Source organism: Homo sapiens, chromosome 7 (assembly GCF_000001405.40).
Source record: "Homo sapiens chromosome 7, GRCh38.p14 Primary Assembly".
In the NCBI taxonomy this organism is placed as follows: domain Eukaryota; kingdom Metazoa; phylum Chordata; class Mammalia; order Primates; family Hominidae; genus Homo; species Homo sapiens.
Window position 1 is genome coordinate 126,565,467 of NC_000007.14, and position 16,492 is coordinate 126,581,958.

The following is a 16,492-nucleotide window of genomic DNA, read 5'->3' on the forward strand; positions in this document are numbered from 1 at the left end:
AAATACCTAGAAATAAGCCTAAGGAGATGAAAGACTTATATACTGAAAATTAAAGAATATTGATGAAAGAAATTAAAGACACAAACAAATGGAAAGACATCCTGTATTTATGGATTAGAAGGCTTAATATTGTGAAAATGCCAGACTACTCAAAGTGATCTACAGATTCTATGCAATCCCTATCAAAATCCCAAAGAAATTTCATAGAAGTAGAAAAAATCCTAAAATTTATATTAAACTATAAAAGAACCCAAATAGCAAAGCAATTTTGAGCAAGAAGAACACAGCAGGAGGCATCTCCCTTCCTGATTTCAAAATATATTACAAAGCTACAAAAATCAAAATGATAAGGTACTGGTATAAATACAGACATATAAGCCAATAGAACAGAATAGAGACCCCAGAAATAAATCTGTGAATATTTGGTCAAATGATCTTCAGTGAGGATGCCAAGAATATACAATGGGGAAAGGACAGTCTTTTCAACAAATAGTGTTGGGAAAACTAGATATCCACATGCACAGGAATAAAACTGGCACTTTTATTATTGCCATATGCAAAAATCAAGTCAAAATGGATTAAAGAACTAAATGTAAGACCTGAAATTATAATATTGCTAGAAAAAAATAGGAGAAAATCTCCATGACATTCATCTAGGCAATGATTTGATGAATTTGACATCCAAAGCATTGGCGAAGAAAACAAAAATAAACAAGAGGCACTACATCAACCAAAAATCTTCTGCAGAGCAAAGAAAGCAGTAAAATGACAATCTATGAAATCAGAAAACATACTTGAAAGTGATATATCTGAGAATGAGTTAGTTTTCAAAATTGGTAAGAAACTTCTACAACTCAATAGCAAAAAAACTAACCCAACTTAAAATATAGGCAGAATAGTTGAATACACATTTATCCAAAGAAGATCTACAAATGGACAATAGCTATGAGAACAAATGCTCAACATTATTTCCTGATGATTTGCATAATCAGGAAAATGCAAATCAAAATCACAATGAGGTATCACCTCACACCTGTCAGAATGACTATTATCAAAAAAACAACCAATGTTGGCAAGCATATGGAGAAACTGGAACCCTTGCACACTGTTGGTGGAAATGAGGAATGGTGTAGTCGCTATGGAATACAGCATGGAGGTTCCTCAAAAGGTAAAAATAGAACTACCCCATGACCCAGCAGTCTCCCTTCTGAGTATTTATCCAAAAGAATTGAAATCAGGGTCTCAAAGAGATATTAGTATTCCTATCTTCACCACAGTACTGTTCACAAGAGTCAAGATGTGGAAACAATCTAAATGTTTATTGGCAGATGAACGGAAAAGAAAATGAGATGCATAAATACCATGAAATATTATTTATCTTTTTTAAAGAGGAAATTCCGCAATATGTGACAACATAAACAAACCTTAAGGATATTAGCTAAAGGAAATAAGCCAGTAACAGAAAGACAAATACTGCATGATCTCACTCCTATGTGGAATCTAAAGAAGTTGGTCTCATAGAAGTTAAGTTTAGAATGGTGGTTACCACTTATATGAGTCGAATCATATAATAATCAAATTCATAGAATGAGAGTGGGATGGATGTTGCCAGGGAATGGGGGCAGGAATAAATGAGAAATTACTCATCAACATTTTAAAGTTTCAATTGAGCAAGATGAATAAGCTCTAGAGACCTACTGGACAACATTGTAGCTATAGTCAACAATAATGTATTGTGCACTTAAAAATTTGTTAAGGGGATAAAAAATGATGAGTTCATGTCCTTTGTAGGGACATAGATGAAGCTGGAAACCATCATTCTCAGCAAACTATCACAAGGACAAAAAAACCAAACACCGCATTTTCTCACTCATAGGTGGGAATTGAACAATGAGAACACATGGACACAGGAAGGGGAACATCACACACCGGGGACTGTTGTGGGGTAGGGGGAGGGGGGAGGGATAGCATTAGGAGATATACCTAATGTAAATGATAAGTTAATGGGTGCAGCACACAAACATGGCACATGCATACATATGTAACAAACCTGCACGTTGTGCACATGTACCCTAAAACTTAAATAATAAAAAATTTGTTAAGAGGGTAGATTTCATGTTAAGTGTTTTTAATTATAATACAACAGTTTTTTAATTGTGTATGCTTTTAGTGGTAAATAAATTAGCTCTCTGGTGCAAAAAATAAAATAAAATAAAAAGATATTTCCCCATTACTGATAAGCCTCCGGTTAGGTAAGAACTTGGTCTCATGTATAAATCCTCATTGCTCCCACCCAGCTATAAAGAGACAAAAATAAGATGTTATATCCAGAAAGAGACTATCAACCCTGGACCCACCATCATCCTTGCCCATGAGTCCTCATTCATACTTTGATTGGACAAAATAACATCTCTAGTTTACAGTGGAGGATGTAAGGGGTAAGCTTCAGAGAGGATATGAGGATTGCTGTCCTAAATGATGGTGAATTAATTTTAATAGCCAAAAATTATCAGAAAGCTATGGAATCTGCACTCAACTCTTCTACAGGACAGAAAAGGAAGAAATAATATCTTGTTTATATCTCCAACAAATTAAAATTATTTGGTAAACTAGTTAAAATTATAAAAAGAAAAGACATTTGCCTACTGTTTTATATTAGTTTTAGTGAGGGGCTCAAAGTTGGAAAGAAAAACAGAACAGAGATAATGAGGCAAAGAAGGAAGGAAGCTTCAGGAGTGTGTATGTGCCTCCTCTTTACTTAGACCTTCCCAACATGAATTCAATATTCTGTTTAAAGTGAACATTCAAGATATCAAACATATCCATAGTTACGTTAACAGAAAGAAAAATATATATTCCAAAACTAAAATATTTCCACATAAGCCATTACTTTCATATTTTAAAACTCTATTAACACAGGTAATTCGGAACTGATGTAAGTCTTTAAAACTAAGTTATTTAGGGTTACCTGATTAGCATACAAAACATCTGGGTTTCTAGGTTACATTTCTCCAAGAAAACTGCAGAGCTCCTCCCTCTCTCTCCCTCTGTCTCTCACCTCTGCAGACTATTATTTAAACTTCATATAATTGGGAGTTGAGAAGATTTTTTAAATGACTGACTTTGAAGTAAATGATTATTCCTAAATTTATATGCAGATCATTAAACTGATAAAAAGTACTACAAAAATTTATGTTGTCCTTCATTTTCATTATAAATGACCACATTAAAGTTTAAAAATATTGATCAAGCTACAAAATAAAGGGAATGATTCTTCCATAAGATTTTGATAATCTTAAAATTAAATCAAAACAAAGGGTGCTGCTAGAGCCTATTTGGTGACTTCAGCATTGTGACAATTGTTTGTAGCTCTTTAATAAGTTGGAAATCATTTCAAAGGGATTTGGGATCTAGCCAAGATGAAACGTACTGAGCAACTATAAAATCACTATCAAGGTTGATACTACTGCAAGGAAAATCAAAAAGAAAAAACAATCAGGATACATAATCCTGAATAAATAAACCAGAGAAGAACAATGCCTTTGTCAATCACCTGCTAAACAGCAGTGATTCAGCCCCATACTCTGAAGACTTTTCAAAATTCCACTCTATTATACTTCTTCAAATTGTTTTCTTTCCATTTATGCCCCAAAGTTTAGCTGCTCCAATGAACACACAAAAGATCCACAACTATCTAACAAGAAAAATTTTGTTTCTCCTCTCAAATCAGTGGGCCATCTAAAGACTGGGTAGTTTCTTACTCTAGTTTTGTTTTGTATTTTACATAATGTAGTCACAAGCCAATGTTTCTCTAATTTGTTCCTTAAAATGAAGCTGGCAAAAGTGCCACATAACTATTGTTTGCACAGAGGTACTTTCCAACCTGGGTATTTAATGACCATGACAGGCTCCATGTATCCACATGTTTGTTCCCCCAAGACATACTGAACTTCTTCAAAAAGAAACAAAAATGCTGAAAGTGAATTTTATTTTTAATTATATTCTACTACAGGAAGAAAACGACACTTTGTGTCCACATCAGAGCTGCCAGTCAAATACTGACACACCAGTAATTCTCTAGCAGTGTTAGCACAGAGTCACTAAAATTGGAATGAAACCACATGGAGAACTCAGGGAGGAAGCGTTCTGTAGGAACTGTTCATCAGTTTTGCTGTGACAATAGAAGGGGCCAAGTGGTTTCTCTCAGTAATGTGTGGTAAAGCGTGTCTTTTCCCACATCCTGCCAGCAATATAAATTATCCAAAAATGCAGTCTCATCCATTTAGAAAGAAAATCTACTCTATTATCAGCTGCAAGGTGTTAGAACTCTAAGCTGAATACAGAAAGGCAAATTACAGGCACCTAAGTCAATCCTAGGTCTGCCAGTTTTTCACATCTAAACAATATCATTCTTAGACATCATCCTTTTTAAATTCCAGTCCTTAAAAATGCTTGGAGTTATCAACGAGGGCTTGAAGAACAACTTATCCCCATAAGATGTAATTTTCTTTCTCCATAGTCACCTGAATTGAGTCTATTATTTATCCACATGGATTTCATGACCAGAACATTCTGATTTTCACTGTAACTCTTCCCTGGCTCCAGATTACATCAAGTTTTCTAATTTCCTTGATTCTTAAACTAACTTGATATTTTCTTTTGTTGTCTATTGCCTTTTTCTTTTCCCTAGCTACTTCCTTCTCATCTTGTTTATTTTCAATCAATACTTTGCCCTATGCCCACTCTCTATATTACATATTCATATGTTCTGGCCTTCTGTAATTTCATTTGTAATTTCAGTTCACCTGTACTTCCCCACTGGGAGACAGTGTAGAACAGTGTTGGATGAAAAATCCTTGCATAAGTGAGCATGAAGTGGGATATGGGTCCTAGACATCTGTCAGGTAGGATACTTCTTAAATTATAACTTTAGGGCTCAAAGCATTAAGCCACTCCAGCTGCAATAGCCTACTTCATTGTATGAATATAAAATAAACTAGACATTAGAAATTCAAAATATCTCCTGTACTCCTAGACAGCAATCCACCCACTGACAAGAAGTCTCTAAAGAAGTTTTTATAAGTGGTAACAATGAATAATTTTGCACTAGTCCCATCACCCATTTATTGGAAGGTTGAAGACTTATTGAAAAACATCTTCCTTTACCTGTATGCCACTGACACTAAATTATAAAACTACTAAAAATTTCAGGAGCATTCTCTGGCATTCCCCCCATTACCCCTACCCATAGGAATTACCATGACACTTCCCCTGGCTACTCCAGCTCAGGAAAACCAGACTTGGGAAAGAGCAACAACACAATCCAAGACTCTTTCTGAAAATAGGTGTCTAGTTGATTCACATCTTCTTTCATAAATACCCCAAAAAGTTGAGATCCCCAAACCTTGGCTTTTCAGAACATATATTCAGAATGTCAGCAGAATGAGTTGTGATGATATTCAAATACCATTTCTGTGATGTTTGTCACTTTTTTTCTAAATCTAATTGTCTGCATAACCAACAGGCAACTACCCTCTTCATAAATGAGGCAACATTGCATGAGGTCACTTTCAAACCACACTGACACAGCTGGCCTAGGACCTGGCTCATGACTTGCTGTTCATCGCTCCAGAGCCCTTCTCAGTCTAAGTATGCAAGAGAGAATAAAGTCATTAGAGATCATGTAATTATACAAAATGTAAAGGAAATCATTACTAATACAAGAAATTTTTAATAAATATCAGAAATATAAAGTAGAAGTCCATAGGTTGATAGATAAAAATAAGTAGAAAATTCACAAACTGAAATATACTGCAAGACAGCTTCAATTACAATCTATTTTCCCAAAGGGAACCCCATGGAGACACAGCACACAGAGATAGGAAGTAATTTAGATTTTATGAGATTTAAATGAGATTAAATACTGTACTGAAAATAAAGAGTCTAACTACAGAGCCATTGATGATCTATATACAGGACAAGGATGGGAGACCCATCCCACTCAACTGGCATTTACCCCTGGGCAAGAAACCAGAGGGCTCTTCTTTAAGAAAATGAACAAAATTCTGGGAATAGTAAGATTTCTAGTGTGTGTGCTGGCCCTTCCCATAGGAACAAATATCCTCTTTGCCTGCCAACAAGTATTTCCCACTCTCCTTTGATCTGCATAGAGTCTGAATCCCTGGGCTGCCTTCCCCTTCAGATCAGAAATCTAGGGCAAAAACAAGTCAATCGTTTTTCATAGCAGCAGAGGAGACCAATTCCAAATATACAGGATTTTTTTTTTTTTTTTGAGATGGAGTCTCACCCTGTCACCCAGGCTGGAATGCAATGGCATGATCTCGGCTCACTGCAACCTCTGCCTCCTGGGTAAAAGTGATACTCCTGCCTCAGCCTCCCGAGTAGCTGGGATTACAGATGCATGCCACCATGCCTGGTTAATTTTTTCTATCTTTAGTACAGATGGGGTTTCACCATGTTGGGCCAGGCTGGTCTCGAACTCCTGACCTCGTGATCCTCCTGCCTCGACCTCCCAAAGTGCTGGGATTACAGGCATAAGCCACCACACCTGGCCCCAGGAATGTCTTAAACCATGTACCACCACATAGCAGGAGAGGACAGAAGATAAAACGAAACTCTCTGGTCTTGGAAGACACTGAATTATTCCAAAGAAGGAAAATGAACTTTTAAAAGTTATAAGTAATATAGAGACTAGAGAGGAAAATACAACCATACATACAAACATAAAGGATAAAATTGAGAACATGTAGAATGCATAAAGCAAAAAGATAAATATGAGAGACAGTGTTAGCAAGATAAAGGATCATCCCACAGAGTATTATTTGGTTAAGAGAATTCCAAAAAATAAAGACCAGAGAAGATTTGTATGGTATAATATCTATAAAATAATACAAAGAAATATTCCAATGCTGATAGATAGACATGAATGTCTACATGACAACATCCGATGGCTGCTCTGCACAGGGAATGCTGGAGGATGCCAAGTTACCCCTAGTTTCCTACAAAGGTATTTGACTTATTATTGACAATACTAGGTACTAAAAATAACAAAGTAATACCTTTAAAGTTCTGATGGAAAATTTTCTATTATTGTTTCCAAATCCAACAAAACTATCAATTGAAATGTAAGCCAGAATAAAGCTATCTATAAGACATTTTCTGAGGTAACTTCCTTCCTTTGCACCTATCCTGGGAATTTCTTTTAGGATGCACTCCAAACATGCAGAAGTAAACTAAGAAGGAGGAAAACCTGGAATCCATGAAATGATATTCCATCCCAGAATGGTAGAGAAAGGAGAGAAAGAGGGTAGTTTCATGGTAAACTAAAAAGCAACCAGCAAAGCTGAAAACAAGGAGACACAGAGGTACAGAAGTGACATCCTAAGGGGGTTGAATGAAGACCCACAAAGATAATGAAGACAGAGAAAGACACAGAGAGAATGCATAACCACAAACGGTGCAAGAAAAACTAAAAGAATGATGATTGGAAACAACATTAAAATTTTTTAAATCTAAATATAAAGCAAGTAAAAATGCATTAGAACGTTAAGCGATAGACTGAATATAAGAGAAGACAATTCAGGTGACCTTGATGCCAGCAACATCCTCTTTTAAATGGCCCCAGGTTTATGGTGTCAGATATTTTGAAGTGGGAAATGGAATCTTAGTCCAGAACTTAAATAATGTTTACACAGTCATCATAATGTAAATGTTTGTTTTCTCCTATTAGAGTCAACCCAGGAACAAAGAAAAAGAAAATTTTATTATTCTCACAGGATAGAATGCCAGTGTTCACAATGGGATGATGTAAAAGTGTGGCTCAAAACAAACAAACAAAAAATAAGTTGTATATGTGAGAAGAAATAGTAGAGCAAAGTATATATATTTTAGCATTTTTTAATGAAACAGGGAGTCAAGATATATGTCAAAAAGCTGTAACCAAAAATAGAGGATTAAGTATACTTTTCTGGGGCCACAAAATTTACTAGAAGAAAAATCAGAATCTCAAAAATATACAAAGCAAGCTTTGGGGAGGGAAGAGGGTATAAAAGACAGCAAAAGTAAACAAATTCTTACCTTTATTTCATTTTATTTATTTTTTAATTTTTTTTTTTTGAGACAGAGTCTCACTCTATCACTGAGACTAGAATTCAGTGGCATTATCTCGGCTCATTGCAACGTCCGCCTCCCGGGTTCAAGTGATTCTCCTTCCTCAGCCTCTCAAGTAGCTTGGACTACAGGGAGTGTGCCACCATGCCTGGCTAATTTTTGAATTTTTAGTAGAGACAGGGTTTCACCATGTTGCTCAGGCTGGTCTCAAACTCCTGAGAGTCAGGTGATCCATCCACCTTGGCTTCCCAAAGTGCTGGGATTACAGGCATGAGCCACCATGCCCATCCTCAAATTCCAACCTTTCTTATCACATTCTCAGAAAATAACCTAATAGATGAAGAAGTTGAGGTATAATACTTGTAGTTATTAACAAAAATACTGCAAACAATTCAAAAAGGTTGCCTCTCTAAGGAGGTCCAAAGGTCTGGAGAAGTGAAATCAGATATTCTTGCTTTTGACTTAAAGCAATCTTCTAAAATAAAAACTTCAAAAGAAATTAAGAAGTAAAACTTAAAACACCATTTTAAATGACACTGTTACCATCACCCACCTACCCTGGAGAAGAAATGCACATTTCTGGCTTCAGCCAATGAGGCTTGTTCAATGTTCCAACACTGAACCATAGCTATTGGTTTAATAAATATACCATTACATCAAAACCATTACTATAGTTACTGGCAGAACATTGAACTCCTCATCAATGTGGGAGATAAGCAACTCCACTGATTTTGGCTGGAATATAATACAGCTCTTAGATAACCTTAGAGAGTTCCAGCATGACTGACTGCAGGCTTGGCAAGCAGTCCAGTAAGTCTGTAAACAGAGACTAAAGGGATATTAAAAAAGAATGTGATGAATTTGGAAAACCATGTATTCATCATAACACATTCCAATGCTGGATGTGTCATCTCTAAGGAGTTAGGGATTTTCCCACCTATTATACGGTCAGTGATGAAGCTACATCTTCAGGACTGAGGTTTGAAATCTTACTACCTGAATCTTCAGATGTGTTTTCCAACTCTCTCTTCACTTTGCTTTTTTTCTACAGAGTTAAGTCTTTGAGTGCTTTGTGATCTGAAATCCCCCAAGGCAACTAACATTCCACTTCTTTTTCATTTTCTTTTTAATTAGACACTCACAGAATACACTGTACTATTTTTTTTAGAAACAGGCTCCTTTTAATTTTTTTTAGACTGTTTTGCAGACTGGCCCCAAGACTACATCTACTATCTGATACCATTGATCGACCTGACTGTTAAGGTGTGGACTCAGCACTTCCTGTGAAGAGGTTCCCTGATGAATACTGACTCTATTAGGCAAGGGTAGTATAACATGACTCACAGTCTTCTGTCAGCCCTATTGAATTCCAAGCTCTGTCTCAGAACTGGCTCGAATTCTCTGGTGATTCCTTTTCCCTCAGTTAACTTTGAGCAACCATATACTATAAGGGTAGACAACAGATCCTCTAGGGCAGGGGTTCCCAGCCCCCAGGCCATAGACTGGTACCGGTTTGTGGCCTGTTAGGAACTGGGCTGCGTAGCAGGAGGTGAGCAGCACAAGCATTACTGCCTGAGTTCTGCCTCCTGTCAGATCGGCACAGGCATCAGATTCTCATAGGAGTGTGAGCCCTATTGTGAACTGAGCATGCAAGGGATCTAGGATGCATACTTGTTATGAGAATCTAATGCCTGATGATATGTCACTGTCTCCCATCACCCCCAGATGGAACTCTGTAGTTGCAGGAAAATAAGCTCAGGGCTCCCACTGATTCTACATTATGGTGAGTTGTATAATTATTTCATTATATATTACAATGTATTATAATAATAATAGAAATAAAGCACATAATAAATGTAATGCACTTAAATCATCCTGAAACCATCCCTCTCACCCCAAGTCCATGGAAAAACTGTCTTCTATGAAACCAGTCCCTGGTCCCAAAAATGTTGGGGACCGCTGCTATAGGGAATAAAATAAAATCTGCTACTTGACTCATGAGTTGTATCTTTGAACTTAAGGTAAGAAAAAAAATTTAACCAAACCAACATAATTGAATAATCAGATGTCAATGTGGAACTCAGAAACATTATCCTTGTTTACATACACACTGTTTTTTGAAATTGTAAGCCTGTGATACTCTCGCATTTGTGAGATGCCAACCCCTAAAAAAAAATTGTATTTCCTAAGGCAGTATAATGAGTTTTGCTTTCTTTCTTATATTTGTGTCTCTCTTATTTTGAGAACTTAACTTCCAAGTGCAATTTTTGGTCTTGAACCCAAATATATTTCTCTCATCACCCAATTATTAGCTCTCATCCACTCTTCTCCCAGAATGGTTACTAACAAGAAACATGATGGAGGCTGATGGAGGCAACCACTGTGTAATGCAAACAGCTTTAGTATTGGTCAAATGCTATAGCTGGAGAGTCATGAGTAAGCCCTTTCTAGTCTCTGAGCTTTGGTTTCCTCATCTGTAAATATGTTTAACATCTGCAAAGTCAATGCCCCATGTAGACAGGGCCCAGCATTATGTAATATTTAAAAACTAAATTCTCACCAACATTTTGAGAAGTGATTAAAATATTTCTTGATGTCACTCACAAATGGCAAAAGAAGACTCAATTCACAGCACAGAGCAAACAAAAAGTCATTTTCCCCAACTTTTTGTATTGTTCTGTTTTGGTTTTTTGTTTTGTTTTTTGAGGCAGGGTCTCACTCTGTCACCCAGGTTGGAGTGCAGCGATGTGATCTCCACCCACTGCAACCTCCACCTCCTGGCCTCAAGTGATCCTCCCACCTCAGTCCCCCAAGTAACTGGAACTACATGCACAAGCCACCATGCCCAGATAATTTTTGTATTTTTTGTAGAGACAGGGTTTCACCATGTTGCCCAGTCTGATCTCAAACTCCTGAGGTGAAGCGATTCATCCATCTCGGCCTCCCAAAGTGCTTGGATTAGAGGCATAAACCACCACACCCGGCCCCCAGCTTTTAATATCTCTAATACTTGCAACTATCCTTAAATCTCTTTCTTCTGTTAAACCTCTACAGAAATCCTCTATCAGCCCACACTGACTGACTCTCATCTCTTTTTCTCTCTTCCCACCTTTTTGGTATTTTCATTTTCTATTCCTTAAAATGTCAGTGAGGATCCTGAGCTCCTGAGTTTTATTCCTCAAAATGTCAATGAGCTCCAGTCTGACTGCAAAGGTGGGTATTTCTCTCTTCACTATCAAAGTCTAATTATAAACCAGACTTACACTTACAGCCCCCATTGACTCTGTTGTATCCTTTCTAGGTCAGTGAGGTGGTCTTCTTGTCTTCTTCAAAAGCACAGGTTGTGCAAGCTTTTGACTCCAGGAAAACATCCTAAAGCCAAACCATGTAATCATTCATTTCACTACCAACCCAATGGCTCCAAAGCTTATCGTAGCTGTCCTGTTTCAGTGGGAAATTTTATCCATAACTCACAGTCCTATTTTTCCAAACTTGGCCATCAATTCCTTAAATTCTTAGGAGTACTGGTGGTTTCTAAGTCTAACCATAGGATAAAACCACAGTCAGGAGAGCAGAGGTTTAGGTTATCACCCAATCTAGGCATGGGTGCCACATCTCCTTCCTCCATCCTGAATGGTATCTCGTTTCTTAACATAGCTGACATCTTGGGAGATAAAGTTGAAAAGCCAATTTCCAATCTGCAGTTACCTAAAGGAACTTCCTAGAAGTCTTGATTTAGTGTAATCATTTAACACTAACTTTAAAAATAATCCATTTAGTAATCCAATACCAAATAGTAGATTATCACCCCAAAGGGCTACTCTTAATCTCAGAGTAGTAACAAAATTTCCCTCTAACTTTAGTATAATATTTCAAGGACAACGAAATACAAATTTCTGTGAAATTTCCAAAGTGTAAAACACTATGAAGTTCTACTCTAATATATGTCCTAGATGATGATTTACTCCAAAAAAAAAAAGTAGATGTGACATTTTACATTCCAGTACTGTAACCACAGAAAACTCAGCTGCCTCATGGAACTATAACATAATGTCTAAACATCAAAAACTAATTCGAAAGCAACTTAAGTATTAATTGAAATTTCTCAGCAATGCCAAAAGATAAATCTCTATGTAACCCAATGCAATTTCTTAAAAGCCTTTTTGTACCCTCTTGAGCATGCTTTCTCCGTGGAAGGCCTCTCAATTCAAAGCATTTTTTTTCTCTCTCTCTCCTCGCCTCTTTTAATGTGTATCTTTCTCATTTTGCAGCTGCCCCAAAGACTCTCTTTCTTCTTTCATAACTCTTAAAATCTCCCACCAAACCCAACCCATGCTTCTTTCTCTATTCCCTCCTTTTCATCTCCTAATCTATTCATTTCCTTCTCTTATGTTTTTAGTGTAAATCAATCAAACTGATTTCAATGATTCCTGACTCTCCCTCTCATTCATCAGTCTGATTATGGGCAGCAAAGATGTTTCTTTTTAAAGAGAAGACTAAAGTGAGAAACTCTTACTAGTCTTATATCCATATTTTTCCTGTTACATATAAAAAGCAATACCCATCATAATGGGTTGATTGGAAACTCTATGAAATTATGTATTTACATATATTTCTGACATGTAGGTTTTTTAAAGAATTTTTGGTTAAAGTAATAAAAATAGTAAGATGGAAAACAGGATACAATTTGTCCTCTCTGGATACAGCTGTTCAGTCTCCCTATCCCATTTCCACTTAGCATCCTAAAGATCGAATGGAAATAACAGAAAAGAGAAGGATAAAAGATGGCAGAAAGGAGATTAGTAGTTTATGTGAGGAAGGAGCAAGTGGTGTGGAGAAGAATACAGTTTGACTTAGTGTGTCTGCTAGCTCCATGAGCTGAGCTGTGCATTTGCCAGGTGGTGAGGAGGGCAGAGGCAGCCACAAAGCTCCCGAACAGCTGTTCCTTTCTCTTCTTCCACTCAACATTTAGAGAGTCTGGGCAGTTTAGGGGCAGCCACTAAGGGAGCAGCAGCAGATGGCTGTCATGCTGCAGAGGTGTACTCTAGAAGGATGAGGGGCTCCAGTTACAAAAAGCAGCTATCTTTTATGTGCTTTAAAGATATGTGCTAAAGTCTACTTGAAGGCTGTATAAAGGCACATTAATAAAAATCACCATTTTTAATTTGGTCTTTAATTCAGTTCTCTAATTTTAGTAGTATTTTACATTAGATATTAGCTATCGGACAATTATTAAACTTAAAGAGGAAAAAAAAAGAACTTAAAAAAGACCTATTTTTCTCTTCCCATCCTGGCCTCATCCATTTGAAGCAAGGGTGACAACCTTGTTGTCATAACCCTACAAGGAAATTTTTCACATTTAACCCACATTTACTGAGAATCTACTCTGTGTGCCAGTAATAGTACCAGACTTTTTCATGGCCATTATCTTACGTAAAGTAGGTATGAAATGGTATTTTTCTAAGTAGAGGTAAAGGATTCTACTCCTCCCACTAAAAATACAAAATAAAAGAAAAAGAAAGACACAAAAGTTAGAGAAAACAAAATATTAGAAGTTTGGTTCTGTTTAAATGTATGCAAATCCAATTAGGACTAAATTTACACTTCAAAATATGTCAAAAATTCTCTAACAGGAAAAAAGGACAAAGTTGAATTTTGTTTTCTGTTCTTTTCATGTGACTTTTTGTGACTGGTATTCTTTATACAAAATGACTATGGCTCCCATAAATAATAACCAACAATTCTATAGTATTTTGAAGTTTTCAAAGTATTTTCACATAAAAAAATTCTTTTGATCTTTAAAAACTTTCTATAAACTAAGAATCTCTATATAATAGGAACTTTCGATTCACATATGAGGAAAGATTTCAGTGCAGTAACATGCTGACTGGAATCAGCCTCAACACTGGAATAGTGACATTTAATAAGTCCATGGCAGGCAATAGACCTGACAAGTAGGCTTTGCTCTGATGCAGGCAGAACATGTCATCATTGTCCAACTAGTTTTATAAAGTTTTTATGAGAAGGGAAAAAGTAGTTGGTATTCTAGGAAAAGGAATTTTTACTTGCCTTTCTTCTAGATCGCACCAGGAGTGTCCATAATTTGTCAACTGAAATAAAGCTCAGCCCCAGTGTCTTCTAAATTTGTCCACTAACTCATTCACCTATGCAAAATTGTGGCATTTAAGGAATTAGTAAAAACTAATTAACTTAAATAAGATATTTATTTAATACTCTGTTAATCAATGTTATAGAAAAGGTTACTAAGTAAATTTTGAAATGATATATCTCCCTTAAAAGGTCCCTAAATTCCTTAAAATGAGATCAGATAAATATTAAGGAAATATTACAGAATAAATCAGGATATTTGGTAAAAAGAAAACGTGCTTATCCCATATGAAAAAAAAAAGTTGTGGTTAGAACAAATTAGTATTTTTAAATTTTTTTCAGTAAGTTATAAATTAAATACATGCCTATTCACTAATAATTCAAATGGCCAAAGAGCACTGTTAAATGATGGTTTTCTCTGAGGGCCATCTTTTTATAGACATTGATACAGTTAATCTTCCTAATGTCCAGCTGGCATCAGGTTATTTCCTTAGAGTAGTGACTGATAATAGTTATCGGATAAAAGCCATGTTCCAAGTTGAAATCCAAACTCCAAAATTTTCTTTTTAAATAGGACTTCTATGATTTCTCTTCTTAGTCCCTCTGTTTTTCATGAAAATTCCAAGACTCCCTCTTTTTGCCTTTGTGCAATCCATTCTCTACCCCTGGTATTTCCTATCTTCATGTCCCTTGTCCAGAATAGTCTAGATCCATCTAGCTTAAATGTGATCTTCTTCTTAAGGCTTTCTTCTTTTTCCTAAAATCTCTTTCTTCTGCATTCTCGTCTACTTAAGATTGATCATGAGCTCCACCATCTCCTGGTCTCCCATATCCAATCAGTCATCAACTTCTGCCTGATTTCCATTTATCGGTATTCCTGAAAGCACGAACATTGGCATCAGATATATATGCTTTTGAATTTTAGCTATGTCTCCACTAGCTGAATGAACTTAAATAAGCAACTTATTGTTAATCATAGTTTCCTCTTCTATAAAATGGTCATTCAAAGAGTACCTAATTCACAGAATTATAGTAAAGATCAAACGAGTTAATAAATATGTAATTCAACTTAGATGGAAAATTCAATGGAAGCCAACATTTCTCAAAGTAGGTTTAAGGAATATTGGTTCCATAAATATTCTTCAAATAAAAAGGAATTCGTAGTTAAAACAACTTATTAAAAAGTATACCTAATACCCACTTCTCTGTCAGTCATGAAGTATATTAGCACATTAAAGTCTCCAAGAGGTCTTAAAAAAATAGAAAAAAAAACAATTATCCTAACATTCCCTAAACTTATTTGACCAGGAAGCCTTTTTATGCATATATAGTAGCTACTTAAAAGCCTGCAGAACCAGTGTTCTGAGGAAGGCTTTGAGAAAATGCTTACCTGGACAAGAACCACAGCTATCATCTTGAAAGTTATTTCAGCCTTAGGTTTTCAATTTTTAGAAAAAAATAAAAAATAAAAAATAAAAACATTGTGAAAGAGACCATCTCCTAATGTTCAGAGTCATTAGAAATTCTCAGAAAATGAATAAAATTCTGCCCTTTGGGAAGATATGCCCAAAAGGGTAGCAGAATGGTATTAGCTTTCCAAGGCCAATTACTTCTTAACAATCTCTTAAAGGATATGAAAAAGTTCTATTTTTCATGGAATGCCCAGTAATTGCTTATCCAGCTGGTAGCAGATGCAAAACTTCATCTCAGGAGGAAAGCTTAACGTACAAATTTGTGAAGACCTGATAAAGAGTGAGAAGAACTCTCAGGAGTCTCAGGAAATGAATAAGTTCATGCCTGTGATGAAGACAGAATTGAGACGTGATCACTATACCTGAGGTCTAATACATCTACCTTCAAACATAAAACTGTTTACTCTATACAAATAAAAGGGCAATACAGGTACACCTCACATTACGGTGCTTTTTTTTATTGTACTTCACTGATAGCATGTTTTTTTGCAAGTTGAATGCCGAGCAAGTCTCTCAGCACCATTTTTCAAACAGCATGTACCCACTTCATGTCTCTGTGTCACATTTTGGTAATTCTTATATTTCAAGCTTTTTCATTATTATTATATCTGTTTTGGTGATCTGTGGTCCGTGATCTGTTTTGTTACTATTGTAATTGTTTTGGAGTGCAACAGAACTACACCTATATAAGTCAACACAGATAACTGATAAATGTTGTGTGTTCTGACTGCTCAATGAACCCCCTGTTCCCCCATCTCTATACCTCTCTTTGGGCCTTGATA

At 36.1% G+C, this 16,492-nt stretch overlaps 1 protein-coding gene across 24 annotated transcripts in view, besides 1 other annotated feature; it reads right to left on the reverse strand.

The window, feature by feature from the left end:
* GRM8 (glutamate metabotropic receptor 8) overlaps nt 1-16,492 on the reverse strand; it is an 814,344-nt gene that overhangs the window by 126,869 nt on the left and 670,983 nt on the right. The window lies entirely within an intron of this gene.
* Nucleotides 8,680-9,879: an enhancer, noted in NCBI's record as "P300/CBP strongly-dependent group 1 enhancer chr7:126214200-126215399 (GRCh37/hg19 assembly coordinates)". NCBI's record gives its function as "activates an origin of replication core promoter dependent on BRD2, BRD4, P300/CBP, MED14 and CDK7 cofactors, with strong dependence on P300/CBP, by STARR-seq in HCT116 cells {active_cell/tissue: HCT116}" and the evidence as "EXISTENCE:reporter gene assay evidence [ECO:0000049][PMID:35650434]".